The 15,044-nt window shown below is 49.2% G+C and overlaps 1 protein-coding gene, 1 long non-coding RNA gene and 1 other non-coding gene across 3 annotated transcripts in view, besides 5 other annotated features; 2 read left to right on the top strand and 1 right to left on the bottom strand.

Moving 5' to 3' along the window:
* PIWIL2-DT (PIWIL2 divergent transcript) overlaps window positions 1–5,376 on the top strand; it is a 20,587-nt gene extending 15,211 nt beyond the window's left edge. Inside the window, exon 2 of the long non-coding RNA NR_134293.1 lies at window positions 5,046–5,376. This is a non-coding gene — a long non-coding RNA (PIWIL2 divergent transcript). The remainder of the gene's footprint in view (window positions 1–5,045) is intronic.
* POLR3D (RNA polymerase III subunit D) lies at window positions 5,351–14,819 on the bottom strand. The gene is made up of 9 exons (NM_001722.3): window positions 14,769–14,819; window positions 14,338–14,507; window positions 12,688–12,731; window positions 11,944–12,095; window positions 11,674–11,798; window positions 11,303–11,471; window positions 10,643–10,908; window positions 9,725–9,877; window positions 5,351–9,556 (listed from the first exon to the last, which is right to left on the bottom strand). Exons 2-9 carry the CDS (start codon window positions 14,500–14,502, stop codon window positions 9,434–9,436), a joined length of 1,197 nt encoding a protein of 398 aa, NP_001713.2. The 5' UTR covers window positions 14,503–14,507; window positions 14,769–14,819; the 3' UTR covers window positions 5,351–9,433.
* Window positions 13,546–13,715: an enhancer, noted in NCBI's record as "experimental_102829 CRE fragment used in MPRA reporter constructs". NCBI's record gives its function as "activates a minimal promoter by MPRAs in K562 erythroleukemia cells, with activity observed for both the introgressed and non-introgressed 8:22103835 variant alleles {active_cell/tissue: K562}" and the evidence as "EXISTENCE:reporter gene assay evidence [ECO:0000049][PMID:34662402]".
* Window positions 14,350–14,529: a silencer, noted in NCBI's record as "silent region_18983". NCBI's record gives its function as "represses an Ori minimal core promoter by ATAC-STARR-seq in GM12878 lymphoblastoid cells {active_cell/tissue: GM12878}" and the evidence as "EXISTENCE:reporter gene assay evidence [ECO:0000049][PMID:35858748]".
* Window positions 14,350–15,044: a biological region, named in NCBI's record as "H3K27ac hESC enhancer GRCh37_chr8:22102421-22103088".
* Window positions 14,377–15,044: an enhancer, noted in NCBI's record as "H3K27ac hESC enhancer chr8:22102421-22103088 (GRCh37/hg19 assembly coordinates)". NCBI's record gives its function as "activates a minimal SCP1, AML or CMV promoter by ChIP-STARR-seq in primed H9 embryonic stem cells {active_cell/tissue: H9 hESC(primed)}" and the evidence as "EXISTENCE:reporter gene assay evidence [ECO:0000049][PMID:30033119]".
* Window positions 14,840–14,909: an enhancer, noted in NCBI's record as "active region_27077". NCBI's record gives its function as "activates an Ori minimal core promoter by ATAC-STARR-seq in GM12878 lymphoblastoid cells {active_cell/tissue: GM12878}" and the evidence as "EXISTENCE:reporter gene assay evidence [ECO:0000049][PMID:35858748]".
* On the top strand, window positions 14,915–14,986 carry MIR320A (microRNA 320a). Its single transcript, NR_029714.2, has one exon. It is a non-coding gene; the product is annotated as a microRNA 320a (primary transcript).

Genomic DNA, 15,044 nt, shown 5'->3' with positions numbered 1-15,044 from the left:
TGACCTCAGGTCATCCACCTGCCTCGGCCTCCCAAAATGCTGGGATTACAGGCATGAGCCACTGCGCCTGGCTGATTGCTTCTATTTTCTTAATGCACTGAGAAGCAGTGTTCTCAGCTGAGAGTGAGAACTGGGGAGAGGCGTTGGAGGCTTGAGGACATAGGAAAAGGGGAATGGTAGAGTAAACAGACAAGGAGAATGGTAGTTTGTTTTACTTATTTTATTTTTAAAAATAAATCTTTAAATAAAGGTTCATAATTCCCCCACCCCTGCCAACTAACAGAGGCATGTATCATGTCTCCTTTAAGGAAAGCTCCTGGGAGCTCCCTGTCTTAGTCCATCTGGCTGCTGTTACAAATACCACAGACTGGGTAATTTGTAAATAGAGATTTATTTCTCACAGTTCTGGAGGCTGGGAAGTCCAAGATCAAGATGCCAGCAGATTTAGTGGCTGTTGTGGGCTTGCCCTCTCTGCTTCAAGCATGATGCCTTGTTGCTATGTCCTCACATGGTGGAAGGTGGAAAAGGGACAAACATTCCCTCAAGCCCTTTAATGAGGGCACTAATCCCATCCACGAGGTGGGAGCCCTCACGGTCAGATCACCTCCTAATGGTCCCGCCTCTTAGTACTGTTGCACTGGGGACTAAATTTCAACATGAATTTTGGAAGGTGACAAACATCCAAACCTTAGCACTGCCCCATGTTTATGATTACATGCCATTGTCCAGAAAGTAATGATAGAGTCACCTCTGCTCTCAAAAGAGGCTGAGAATGTGGTCTTTGTATTGAATGAGTACGTGCCCTCCTAAAAGTCAAGGCTCATTATCATGGAAGAAGGAAAGAGTGGATATTTGGATATTGAGGAACAACCAACAGCCTCTATCACATCATTTTTATTTTTTTTATTTTTTTTGAGAGAGTCTCCCTCTGTCGCCCAGGCTGGAGTGCAATGGAGTGATCTCGGCTCACTGCACCCTCCACTTCCTGGGTTCATGTGATTCTCCTGCCTCAGCCTTCCAAGTAGCTGGGATTACAGGCTTGTGCCACCACGCCTAGCTAATTTTTGTATTTTTAGTAGAGACAGGGTTTCACCATGTTGGTCAGGGTGGTCTCGAACTCCTGACCTCAAGTGATCCACCCGCCTCAGCCTCCCAAAGTGCTGGGATTACAGGCGTGAGCCACTGCGCTCAGCCTCATCTTTAATCTTGCCAAAGCCTTTACCTTAGTTTCCATAGAAATAAGAATTTTTTCTTCAGCACTCACATTGTATCAGTTTATATATTTAATAAAAATCACGCATTTACCATATTTTCTTTTCTTTTTTTTTTTTGAGACAAAGTTTCACTCTTGTTGCCCAGGCTGGAATGCAATGGTGTGATCTCGGCTCACCGCAACCTCCACCTCCCAGGTTCATGTGATTCTCCTGCCTCAGTCTCCTGAGTAGCTGGGATTACAGGCATGCACCACCACACCCGGCTAACTTTATATTTTTAGTAGAGACAGGGTTTCTCCATGTTAGTTAGGCTTGTCTCGAACTCCTGACCTCAGGTGATCCGCCCACCTTGGCCTCCCAAAGTGCTGGGATTACAGGCAGGAACCACGCTGCCTGGCCCAACATTTGCACACATGCACACACACATGTACGTGTGTGTGTGTGTGTGTGTGTGTGTGTATATATATATATATATTTTTTTTGAGACACAGTTTCACGCTGTCCCCCAGGCTGGAGTGTAGTGGCGTGATCTCAGCTCACTGCAACCTCCGCCTCCTGGCTTCAAGCAATTCTCTGGTTCAGGCAATTCTTGGGCCTCAGTTACCTGAGTAGCTGGGATTACAGGCGCGTGCCACCATGGGCCCAGCTAATTTTTTATTTTTTGTAGTGATAGGGTTTCACCATTTTGGCCAGGCTGGTCTCAAACTCCTGGCCTCAAGTGATCCACCCACCTTGGCCTCCCAAGTGCTGGGATTACAGGCAGGAACCATGGCGCCTGGCCCAACATTTGTATAGTTTTAAAAACAGAACGTTAACTACACATTTAACTACAAATGCACTGCTGATGCACATGTGAATAGATGCAAACATTCTGGAGGGAAAAATCTATCAAAATCCTTAAAAATCTCATAGGATTGGACTTAACAAACTCCTGGGCTCAACTGATCCTCGCACGTCAGCCTTCAGAGTAGCTGGCGCTATATAACCTCATATCACCACGCCCAGTTAATTAAAAAAAATTTTTTTTTTCTAGAGACCAGGTCTTGCTACATTGCCCAGTCTGGTCAGGAAAACCATTTTAAATAGAGACTCCTAAGGAAATAATTGAGGACACTGGCAATTTAATGGATTTTATTTATTTATTTATTTTTTGAGACAAGTTCTCACTGTCACCCAGGCTAGAGTGCAGTGGTGCGATCTCGTCTCAGCTCACTGCAACCTCCCACTTCTGGGCTCATGCAATCCTCCCACTTCAGCCCCCCAAGTAGCTGGGAGTACAGGAGCAAGCCACCATGCCTGGCTAAGTTTTATATTTTTGGTAGAGATGGGGTTTCACCATGTTGCCCAGGCTGGTCTCAAACTCCTGAGCTCAAGTGATCCACCAGCCTTGGCCTCCCAAACTGCTAGGATTATAGACATGAGCCACCACCCCAGGCTGCATCATTTTTTAAACGATGAAAAACTAGAAAAAATCTAAATATCCCAGAAATGGGAGATCAGTTGGGTGAATTTTCATAGTACGAAGACGGATTCTAATATAACCATTAAACTTTAGTTGTACAATTTAAGAGACGTTCCTAAAGGAATTCTTGTGATCATCTTGCCCTGGGGAAAGGTCTGAGAGCCACACTGAACATGGCTAGTTTAAGTACTGGTCGTGCTTTCATTGGGAATATACTGTTTTGAGGGAATGAATCGGAGAGAACTGTGTTGGCAGCACGGCACAGTCTCAGGAAGCTTCACTCAAACTGTGAACCCTTATGCTAACTCCCGTGAATATGGCTGGTGGCGCCCACCACCCACGCCACTCCCATTTTATAAGGTGGAACCTGAACTGCAGGGCCAGAAAGCAAAATACCCACATTTCCCTAAATCTCTTGTGCTAGCATTCTGGGCATGCATGAGGTTTTACCAGTTGAGGTTTGGAAGGTGGAGGTAAACTTGAGGCCACCTTCTTCACTTTGGCCGTCTTCCGCTGCCAGAGCTGTGGATGAGCTTGACTCTCCTCCCTCTCACACCTGACATGGAATCTATCAGCAGATCACGTGTGTGCTACCCTTGAAATCAGTATCTAGAATCCAATCACTTCCCAGTGCCCCTGCTGTTAGCGGCCTGGCCAAGCCACTGCCATCCACTGTCCAGGGACTCCATCAGCCCTGCTTCCCGCCTCATCTCCACACCAGCTGGCTCACCAGGTCACTTTAAGAATAAAGCCGGGCTGGGTGTGGTGGCTCACGCCTGTAATTCGAACACTTTGGGAGGCCGAGGCGGGTGGATCACCTGAGGTTAGGCATTTGAGACCAGCCTGGCCAACCTGGTGAAACCCTGTCTCTACTAAAAATACAAAAATTAGCTGGGCTTGGTAGCGGGTGCCTGTAATCCCAGCTACTCAGGAGGCTGAGGCACGAGAATCACTTGAACCTGGGAGGTGGGGGTTGCAGTGAGCCAAGATCACGCCACTGCACTCCAGCCTGGGCAACATAGCGAGACTCCGTCTAAAAAAAAAAAAAAAAAAAAAAAAAAGAATAAAGCCAAGGTCCCTACCATGGCCTAAAAGCCCTCCAGGGCCAGGTCCCACCCCTCTCACTCCCTCAGCTCCAGCCAGTCTCTGTCTTACTCTTCACTCAGCCCAGAGCACTCTCCCCACCTGCATCTGATCCCGCTGGTTCACTTCCTCAAACGATACCCTCTCAAGGAGACCTACCCTACTTGCTGCAACATGCCCGCCACCACCCAGAATCCCCTGCTCCCTGCAAGTTCCCAAACTCTTGTCACCTTTTAACGTCCTTCCTTAAGCTTATCCTGTCTCCCTCACTAGAGTGCAGGCTCCTCCAGCAGGACACAGCCCCTAACCACTGCTTTCCTAACTCCTGCAGGGTGCCTAGCACACAGCAGGCACTTTCTTCAGGTGTGCCAGGGTCCAGCTACAGCTGTATGGTTCCCCAGAGGCAGCTGGGGCTGTGGGATTCCCTCACCCCTGGCTGGCAGCTGTGGCAGTGTGTTGTGTTCCGGAACTCAGTCGAGCTTGAGTCTCCACCCTCCTGATTGTGGCAGAGGGTGTAGCTCCCTCACCATCTGTTCTAGGGGGTGCTGATTCCTGGATGCTTAACCTATGGCTCACTCCTCCAGCCTTCCAACGAGTCTATAAACTTCTCTTCTTGTATTAACTCTTTCTGAATACCTAGAATGGTTTCTACTTGTCCAGTGAAACCTCATGCACGCCCTGGAAAACACACAAGATAAAGTCTCCAGGCCAACAGTGATCAAGACTGCATTTTTCTTTTTCTTTCATGTAAGCTTTCTATTTTTTTTTTTTTTTTTCTGAGATGGAGTTTCACTCTTGTTGCCCAGGCTGGAGTGCAATGGCGTGATCTTGGCTCACCGCAACCTCCGCCTCCCAGGTTCAAGCAATTCTCCTGCCTCAGCCTCCCAAGTAGCTGGGATTACAGGCATGCACCACCACGCCCAGCTAATTTTGTATTTTTACTAGAGACGGGGTTTCTCCATGTTGAGGCTGGTCTCGAACTCCTGACCTCAGGTGATCCGCCCACCTTGGCCTCCCAAAGTGCTGGGATTACAGGTGTGAGCCACTGCGCCTGGCCCATGTAAGCTTTCTTAAGATGTAAAGACTGCATTTTTTTTCTGACTATATCTTAAATGTAGATGAGCCAAGTAACAAAGTCCAACTTCTGACTCAGTTTTTGGGAAGACAGATCAGTGGTTACCCCAATGGAAGGGAACAGAAGAAATGCTTTAGAAGAGCTGAGGCAGAAAGTGGCCATGCAGAGGGCTCCTAGAACTGGTGTCCCATCACCATCTCTGTTTTTTCAGATGACACCCCTAAGACCTGAGCCCCTTCTGGGCCCCACACTCCACCTGTAGAACTCTGATGGGGCCTTGTGCGGCCGAACCACAATCCAAGAGAGGTGTTCACATCATGTGTCGCTAGCCACAGCCATCTCAAGGGGAAATGCCCCAAATGTAGAAGTATCTGACACCAGGACTGGGGGTTGGAGCACTGGATGAACAGCGTGTGTGCCACTCTTTCACTGTGCACCGTCCTAAGAAAGAAGCCTGTTTCCCTTTGAAGAGCCTAGTGCTGACTGCCCAATTCAATCGGACCACGCAGGGCAGTCTGAGGATTAAAAGATGCTACCTTTAATTCCTTCGGCTAATTCAGAAGTATGTGAAACACAACATACTCATTAACATGGAAGAACTGGATGTGTGTGCATGTGGGTGTGTATTATTTATTTTTCAGAGACAAGGTTTCACCATGTTGCCCAGGCTGGTCTTGAACTCCTGGGCTCAAGTGATCCTCCCACCTCAGCTCCAGAGTAGCTGGGAACGAAGAATTGTATGTATTTCTGAGTGAGATAGAGTACACGATAAAACCACATAATTTATATCATTATAAATAACATACAAAATTTTGGAGGCTGAAATAATATACATGAGCAGTCATAAAATACAATGAAATCATGTGCTTTGCAGCCACATGGATGGAGCTTGAGGTAATTATCCTAACCTCGGAAACAGAAAATCAAATAGCACATGTTCTCACTTATAAGTGGGAGCTAAATAATGGGTACCTATGGACATAAAGATGGAAATAGCAAACACTGGGCACTCCAAAAGGGGGTGAGTGGGAGGGGGGGCAAGGGTTGAAATGCTACCTGAGTACAATGTTCACTATTTGGGTGATAGGTATGACAGAAGCCCAATCCCCACCAGTACGCAATATACACAAACACGCACATGTGGCTGGGCGCAGTGGCTCACGCCTGTAATCCCAGCACTTGGGAGGCTGAGGCAGGTAGATCACTTGAGGTGAGGAGTTTGAGACCAGCCTGGCCAACATGGTGAAACTCCCGTCTCTACTAAAAATACAAAAATTAGCCAGGTGTGGTGGCATGTGCCTGTAATCCCAGCTATCTGGGGGGCTGAGGCGGGAGGATCACTTGAACCTGGGAGACAGAGTTGCAGTAAGCCAAGATCACACCACTGGGCGACAGAGTGAGACTCCATCTCAAAAAACAAAACAGAACAAAACAAAACAAAACAAAACTAACATGCTCATGTACCTGCTGAATCTAAAATAAAATAATATACACTAAAATGTTAAAATTGATTTTAGTAGAATAAAAGGTGACTGAATATTTTAAAAAGTTATGCCTAGATGAATACTTTATGATTTTACATTGCAGCATTTTTTGAACATGGCAGCAGCTACTATGAATTGTCTATCCAACTGCCACTCCAGCTTCCTCCCTACTAACAAAACCCCAGCTCAAGGGCAAGTGTGCTCAGTGCCAGGGGATACACTAGTCGACCCATCCCCCTTTGCCAGGGCCTGGTCCAAGAGTGGGCACGTGGCCCCACTCTATAAAGAGACAGGGGGGAGGTTGCTGGAGCTGCTGACGGTTATTCCCGGATAAGGGCAGAATGAGAAGGCTCCTGTACTACTGTCCACTCTGGCTGTGGACACCATCATTTGCAGAATGATGCTTGGCGCAGGAGCAGCCATTCTGCAATACTGAGGATGGCAAAGCAGACGGTTCCAAGGAAATCCTGATGACATTTTGGCTTCCACCCAACTCTAGAACCATCTATTTACAGACTTTTTGCTATGTGAGATAAACATTCCCATTGCTTAAGCCACCGTCAGGCTAATTTTCTGTTACTTGTGCTGATCACATCCTGTTATAGGCAGTTATCTGTCTGGCACCGAATAAATGCCTCATGTTCACTCTAATTTAAAAGCAACCCTATTAAGCTACTACTGTCTCACTCTTACATAAAATAAAATAAATAAAATCAAGCTTAAAGAGGATAAGTGATTTTTTCCAACCAAAGTTACTGGTGGAGTCAGATTCAAACCCAACCGTGACTCGACAGCCTGGACTCTGCCACTTAAACATGTAGTTAGAAAAGTGTGCAAGCCTATTGTTCCTTCTTTCTGTATTTAACAGAAAGCATATACACAGATGCAGGGAGCAACAAATTTGCATCCACTTGCACTCATGTATAAATTTGGCTTTGGGCTCTTCTCCTCTGTCATCTGTCCATATTCCTTGGTAGAAATGCATGCCTCAGGGGCCTGACCAAGAAGGTGGACTCTCCTCTCTTTTCCCACACTTATTAATAAGACCTAATTTGTGCATCAGGGATCTGAGACAGGTTGTGAGGACTTTGATACGGAGTCATAAGGTTCAAGCCAAGACATCTGAATGGGCGAAATGAACGTGAAAGCAGTACATGTTCTTCCTCAAACTTTCTTGGAAGGGTCAGAAAACAGAAGATTGAAAAATACCCAATATCTAACATCGGGCCATTGAGTTCGTCCAAAAAAAGCAGAAGAGTATTTCTGAACCAAAGAAACAGAATAGAAAGAGAGGATGAGAATGGAGACCTGCTGGCCGTGCATCAGCTATTTAAAGGAAGAAAGGGCTGGAGCCCAGAGTTAACCAAAGCTTAGCCTTAGACCAAACAGGGCTTCCCAGCACAGGTTTCCAAGGAACCCTTTCTGCTCCAGTCCTCTACAGTGAGAAGAGCCCAGAATAACACTGTCCAATGGAGCTGACATGAGCTTCAGCACCAGAAAGGGTGATATGGTCACCAAATATTCAGTCAGCCTCACAGCTGCTGGCTGGGCAGGTTGAGGGCTTTGTAGGAGAAGCCCAGCCTTGACAAATGAGTAACAGGCTTGAGGAACTTTGAAAAGAAGGAAGGTGAGCCTGAAGGAAGATGTACCCAAAATCTAAGGGGCCACTAGGAATCAGGGATGGGGGTGGAGGGGAAGCGGTTCTTCCTGAGCCCCTATGGTTCATACTGTCCCAGAGGCCAGGTGCCACGACGCCAGCAAAGGGAAGTTGTGCCATCAGCGTCTAACAGCCACACACGCTGCCGCATGAGACCTTTTTCTAACCTGCAAACGTCTCCCCAGCTGAACCAGGGAAAACCCCAGCCCTACTGTCAAGACAAGAGGAGAAGCTGTTCCTCCAGGGACAACACAGTACAATGACCTGGTAAAGGGAACAGGATCACAGACCCAAAAAAGTAACACTGAGTAGGTGGCTCTGGCAGTGCTAGGACAGGAGACGGGCAGGCCTCTGAAACCCAAAGTTTTTGAAGTGGGCATCATCGGCCAAGTGTCAAAGAGGCCATTATTCAATACATCCCTAACTTCTCTTATGAAGGATTTAGTTTTTTTGTTAGCAATATATGACTTCGGCTCATACATGAGTACTAACTGCAAAGGAAAGAGTGCAGGGAACATGTCCTGGGCCCAACATGTCCCCCAAAGGCTTTTGTAGGGTGCTGGGAGGGGTCTCTGACTTCTTCCTTTCTATTACCTGCAGCTATTACAGTAACTCACACAGGAGGCACCTGGCTAACAGGAGCCAGGAGAAAAAGGCATAGAACAATCTGACACCATAAATTTAGGGCATCAGGCCCAGGGTGAGGACGGGATATAAAGCAGGAAGGGGCAAGAGTGGGGACGGGAGCAGCTCTAGTCGCTGCTTCTGGGAGATTTAGAATCTCTATTTTGTTTGAAAATAGACTCAGGTAGAGAAAAAGGACATGAACGTTTATTGAGTGCCTGCTGGTTCTGGCCTTGTGCAGTTTTCATCTATAATAGCCCATGAATCCTCACGCCAACCCTGGAGGTAGGTATCATCCCCATTTGTGTCGGATGAGGTATAGGAGGCTCAGAAAGGTTAGGTAGTTTGTCCAAGGACACAGAACCAGGAACTGGCAAGCTGGGACCGAGTGCTTAAGTCTCAGACTCAATCCTTGCTCTCTCTCCTATACTGCCTCCAGGAGGACGGGGGGAGCACCAGCAGAAGCTGCAGTCCACACGCTTCCTGCCCCTGCAACCCAGCAGGCACCAAGAGAAGCCGGCCCCTTCACACAGACCCTCCCCATCTACCCTTGGAGGATGCATCAGTGGAAGAGATTAAGACATAAATACAAAAATAAATAGCAGGGCCAAGTCCCCAGCAGCAAGGATGTGCCATCTCCACGCTGCAGGAAGGTCACTGTGCCATTCACAGCTGCTGTGGGAGGAAGCCCTGGGGGACCTGGAACAATGGTTGCCAAAGGCTGGAGTGAGTGGGCTCAGTGGGCCCCTTCTGGGTCTCACAGATTCAAGAACAAAATGTCTGGAGCAGGCAGCAGCCGTGGGCACAGGCGCCGTCCTCCTCCACCTGCTCATTTTACCGGTGTTTGTGATCCAAGAGGGATTCAAAATCAGGGGAACATACAAGTTTGTGCTTCACGTGTCCCAGGACTGTCATCTCCCCTGTCCTACTGTCTCCAAGGCCCACGGACACCAGCTCCTGCCAATTAACAGAGACAGTGATGAGAACCACCACCACGTGCCCGGCGTGTAGAGCTGTGAATGGGGACATGATACTCCCAGAAACCCCCTCCCTTATTTAGCAGTGGCTCTTCAATCCTCCTTCACTCCTGAAAGGGTCCCTCCTTGCCCCTAAGGAGGCTCTTACCTGCAGGAAGGAGCAGGCAGTTCCCATGGTCACGTCCAGAGTCACCTTGCCCAAGAGGAGTTGCACCCTTCCAGACTTGCGGATGAGTAGCTTGCCAACCTGACCCTCTGTCAGGTCAGCCAGGGTACAAGCATTCTCTGCCAATTTGGCTTCCTGCGGAGAAAACCAGAGGATGGACACTGGGCTAGGAGCTCTTTCCTCCATCTTTCATGAACCCCCTTCTACTCCCCAAGAGAAAGGCACAGCAAAGGTCAAAATGAGCTCCCCAAAGAGTGCCTTCTCCTAGGGCTGTCTGCTATGGTTAAAATACAAAACCCACAGCAAACAAATACATACACGGACAAAATATCAGTTACTGCTGAAGCTGAGTTCTGGTACATGGCGGTTTACGTTCTCTTATTTTTTTGAGACAAGGTCTGACTCTGTCGCCAAGGTTGGGGTATAGTGGCATGATCTAGGCTTACTGCAACCTCTGCCTCCTGGACTCAAGCCATTCCCCCGCCTCAGCCTCCCAAGTAGCGGGGACTACAGGCACACGCCACCATGCCTGGCTAATTTTTGTATTAGCCATGGTGTCACCACGTTGCCCAGGCTAGTCTCGAACTCCTGGGCTCAAGTGATCCTCCTGTCTCAGCCTCCCAAAGCGCTGGGATTAGAGGCATGAGCCACCGCATCTGGCCATATGTTCTCTCATTTGTGTTTGAAATATTTCCTTATAAGAAGTGAACACACACCCCCACAACACATACACAATTGGGGTTGGAGGTACAAAGCCCCATGGCTCTTGCAGGCGTCAAGAATAACCACCCATTATTGTCCCATTTCAGCCAGGGTGACACGGCTTTGCTTCCCACTACAGGTCACCACTTCCCGTCCCAGTCCCCGACTTGATTCCCGCAGGCCTCTGTCTGAGCGTACTCGGTCTTTCTCCTGCTTGATGAGCACCACCTGTCCGTCCTCGCCCTGCACCTCTGTCTTGATAGGCTTGATGTCCTGGGTGGGTGGCTGGCCAGGGAGGGTGTCTGGCAGCTGCAGAAACAGCAGTTCCTCTTCCTTGGTGAGGCTCAGCTCCCTCAGCAGCTCTGCCACAGATACATCCTTCGGGAGGCCTGGAGTCTTCCTGGCTGCTTTGGGAGGAGCCTTCATCTTGGCCTCTTCCTCCTCATCTCGTGGCTCCTCTTTCACTGCCCGGGTGATAGACATGGAATGCTATCAAGTGACCACCCTCCATACCAGCTCACTGTTACCAGCCCTTTGCCCCTGTCTGCTCCACTGTCACTCAGCCAGGGAGTGGGAAGGAGGCACCAGTTATACAGAGGGGCAAGAGACAACACGTTCAAGTCTCACATGACTTATCTAAAAAGGGACATCTGAGGCTAGGCCCACTGCTCCCTGTCAACACAGGAACCCTCTGCGAGGGAGAATGGAGCATCTTTGTTCAGCTCATGTATCTTACAGCCGGAATGGGAGGACCTGCTCACGAGCAGCAGTCAGGGGCACATGCAAGGGATGCCTGATGCACGGGATTCCTGGGGAGCAGCCATGGAATTGGAGATGAGAAGTTAACCGACAGAGTACCTTTCACAGCAGGTATGTCCACCTCCATGTCCTCTTCCTTGGGGCCAGCCAGCCAAGGTTTAACATCTGGTTCGTCATTTTCTTCCTTAAAAAGCCATCCTGAGTGAGCCAGCGGCAGCTGCACAGGCATATTTCGAGTGTCGTTCCTCAGGCCGGGGTCATCGAGGAACTGCCAAAGAGAGTCTGGGTCATCCAGCCTGCTAGCACATGCACCTGGATCAAAGTCTGCTTTAGTCCCTTTCTAACCAAAGATTCCGCTGCTCCCCAGGATTCCAGGACATCAGTAAGCTCTTCTACCCCTCACCTGGCTCCCCAGAAGCCCTGTTCTACAGCCACAAGGAAACCCCTTCCCCCAGCCTCCTGGTACCCACATCGTCCTTCTCCAGCATACGCAAGATCTGTTTAGTTTCTTCGTCTGTCTCTCTCTTCTCTTTTTTGATGTTGATGATATGAGAAGGTCCCATGTCTGACACATCCACTGTCTTATCCCAGTTCCCTGTGGGAAATCACCCAGGTCACTAGGGATCGATAAGGAAGATGCCCAACAGCAAGGAAAACGGAAATGGGAGTGGGGAAATTCCACTGTTCTCGCCCTTCTCTGGGGCAGTCTGAACTGAAATTCACTGATTCCTTCCTTATACCTTTTTTCTTCATCATTTCAGCTGGGCCCTGCTCAAAGATGGAGTGAGACTGGATCACTTCTGGACGGCCTCGCCCTCGTCCATGCCCCTCTCGTTGTCGGTCTCTGTCCCTTTCACGCTTCTCCTTCTTGACAGTTACTTCTTCCTTGGGCCTGGAAAAAAGAATGGATTAAGGGAAACCACTCACTCACTGTGTCTCCAAAATCTGGCCTTACTCTCCCATACCACTTCACTCCAAAACAGTGGAGAGTTTGAGCCAATATTTACACCATGAGAAGCAGAATCCAATCCTAATTCTAGCACTTTTCTCACTTCCTTGATGAGGCAGGATTTTTTCAGTTTGCTTTACTTTACCTTCTTGTCCAAAAATATAGATTTTTGTTTGCATTGGGACTGAAAGCAGGAAGGCAGAAATGCAAAGGAACTTCAGGGAAAGTGTGATACATCTTTGTTTAAACTATTGGCTCTCAACTCGGGCAACAAAGAGAATCACTCCATTCTACTGCCAGCAAGTTAAATCACAATTTCTAAAGATGGAACCCTAGACACCAGTAATTATTTATTTATTTATTTATTTTTTAAAGCTTGCAGAATCACCTAGGAGCCAGGGTTGAAAATCACTAGTGAAAAGAACTAAAGATATAAATTTAAATTTTGGAGCTACAAACCTAGTTATTTCCCCCAAAGCCCCAAATTCAGAGCAAGTAAATAAGGGGCAAGTATTCAGAAGGCCTAGCTACTTACTCTTCCTTGATCTTCCGACTGATGATATTTGGGGTGAAGGTTTTCTGAAAGCAAAATACAGGAGTCACTGATGTGTTAGGTTCTGACCCCAAAGTACAGAGGAAAATAAAAATTCCCAAAGGGCATCTTCTACAGACCAAGGCCACCACGGCTCTCGTTGGCACATTCCACAGTGCTGTCAGTTTTATAGATACACATGTGCCTGAAAAGGAGGAATGTCATAGTGTGGTAGCAGTGGAGTTACACATAGAAGGGGGCACCAAAACCCACTTTTAACCAGCAGCCTTAGGTTCTGCCTCTGAAAGAAGATCCTCTGGGACTTCTAAAAGCAAAGGAATTTCTCTGGTCTCACCTCTTCTCTTCAAACTGCTATAGAGACCAGTCAGTATCATGGGGGAACAGCTCTAGCAGCAAGGCCTAAGTAGGGAAGGCCATAGATCTGCCAACACTTTCAATCAGGTGACTATGGACTGTCACCACAATTTTCCAAGGCAAAGTTAGGTTTTTAAAAACTGCTTTATGGCTGGGCGTTGTGGCTCATGCCTGTAATCCCAGCACTTTGGGAGGCCAAGGTGGGTGGATCACGAGGTCAGGAGTTCAAGATCAGCCTGGCCAAGATGGTGAAACCCGTCTCTACTAAAAACTACAAAAAGTAGCTGGGCGCGGTGGCGGGCCCCTGTAATCCCAGCTACTCGGGAGGCTGAGGCAGGAGAATCGCTTGAACCCGGGAGGCGGAGGTTGCAGTGAGCTGAGATGGTGCCTCTGCACTCCAGCCTGGGCGACAGAAAGAGATTCCCTTAAAAACAAAACAAAAAACCAAAAAACCGCTTTATTCGGCCAGGAGCGGTGGCTCACACCTGTAATCCCAGCACCTTGGGAGGTCGAGGCAGGCGGGCGGATCACGAGGTCAGGGGTTCAAGAACAGCCTGGCCAACATGGCAAAACCCTGTGTCTACTAAAAATACAAAAATCAGCTGGGCATGGTGGCGGGCGCCTGTAATCCCAGCTACTCAGGAGGATGAGGCAGGAGAATCGCTCAAACCTGGGAGGCAGAGGTTGCAGTGAGCTGAGATCGTGCCATTGCACTCCAGCCTGGGGGACAACGGCGAGACTTCCTCTCAAAAAAAACCAAAACCAAAACCAAAACCTGCTTTGTTCTTCTGTCATCCTGACCCCACCCCTTTCTGGGCTACTCTTGACATCCACAGTCATATACACATGGGAGAGGCCACAGAGCCTCGAATGCCATACCTAGGATTCATCATACTCTAGATAAAAAGTTTGCACACAGAGATGGTGAATTCTGAACCCTCTAAGACTGCGAAGTTTATGCCTGTCTGGCTTTCATGGGTTTCTTAAAGATGTCCAAACACACAATAAAAGTAAATAAACACTGTTCAAATTGCTTTTGAACGACTTTAACTTATTAGGATTCTCTGCCCTTCAACCACCTCTGGGAGTCATTTCAACATCTTGTACTCAGTACCTAGATTTGAAGGTAGGACAGACTCCCTAGAATTTAAAGAGGGGTAGGCTTGAGAGGCCCAACGACAGTCCTGACACACAGTAGGTCCTACACAAACATTAGTTGAATCCTGGGGCTTGGAATTCAAGGTAGTTGAGTTTCTTTAGAAACGCGCCGTTGGGTACCTTCTTGACTCCCCCGAGGGTGAGGTCCCTGGAACGGATGGAGGGAAGGCGGCCGGGGGTGAGGGGAGGCGCCGGCCGCCGCCCGATGAGCCCCCGGGCCCCAGTCAGGAGAGGTCGGGGCCCTCCCGGCGTGCTGGGCTCGCCGGCGGCGTTTCCTTCCGACATGTTGCCTGGGAGAGAAGGGGCGACGAGATCACCAGAGGGGACTGACACGCGGACCCTGGCGGAACCCCACCCCCTTGCTTTCCGGTCCCCCAGTCGGTGCGTCCCTCCAGTGGCCTCTCAGCTCCTCCCCTCCCACGTGGCGAGACTCCCGGGACCACCCAGGTGAGAGCCTTTGGCTCGCGACACGCCCTCTCCAGGAACCCCGCCCAGGAACCAGACAGGGACGCACCCGGGCCGCGGCTCCACACCGCGCGTCACAACCTCACCTGCAACGCGACCAGCCGCCAGCCTTCGGTCTCCGCGCCGGGCGGAAGTCTGCGTGGCAGGGCCTGGGCGCCGCCATCTTGGCGCGGGGCGGAAGTGACGTTAGGGGGGCGGGACTGGGCCACAGTATTTATCAGGCGGCGCTTCGCTCCCCTCCGCCTTCTCTTCCCGGTTCTTCCCGGAGTCGGGAAAAGCTGGGTTGAGAGGGCGAAAAAGGATGAGGTGACTGGTCTGGGCTACGCTATGCTGCGGCGCTCGGGGGTCTTGGCCTCCGGGCG

This window comes from Homo sapiens, chromosome 8, assembly GCF_000001405.40.
Source record: "Homo sapiens chromosome 8, GRCh38.p14 Primary Assembly".
Classification (NCBI taxonomy): Eukaryota; Metazoa; Chordata; class Mammalia; order Primates; family Hominidae; genus Homo; species Homo sapiens.
This window is presented reverse-complemented; position numbering and strand designations above follow the sequence as displayed.

What these genes read in the sequence shown, in the direction of transcription:
- POLR3D (NM_001722.3), bottom strand. Translation starts at nt 14,502, where the DNA reads ATGTCGGAAGGAAACGCCGCCGGCGAGCCCAGCACGCCGGGAGGGCCC. An exon ending in AGTCGGAAGATCAAGGAAGA is followed by an intron (nt 12,096 to 12,687) that starts GTAAGTAGCTAG and finishes TCTTTTTTCCAG; the next exon opens with GCCCAAGGAAGAAGTAACTG. An exon ending in GGACATACCTGCTGTGAAAG is followed by an intron (nt 10,909 to 11,302) that starts GTACTCTGTCGG and finishes TCACCCGGGCAG; the next exon opens with TGAAAGAGGAGCCACGAGAT.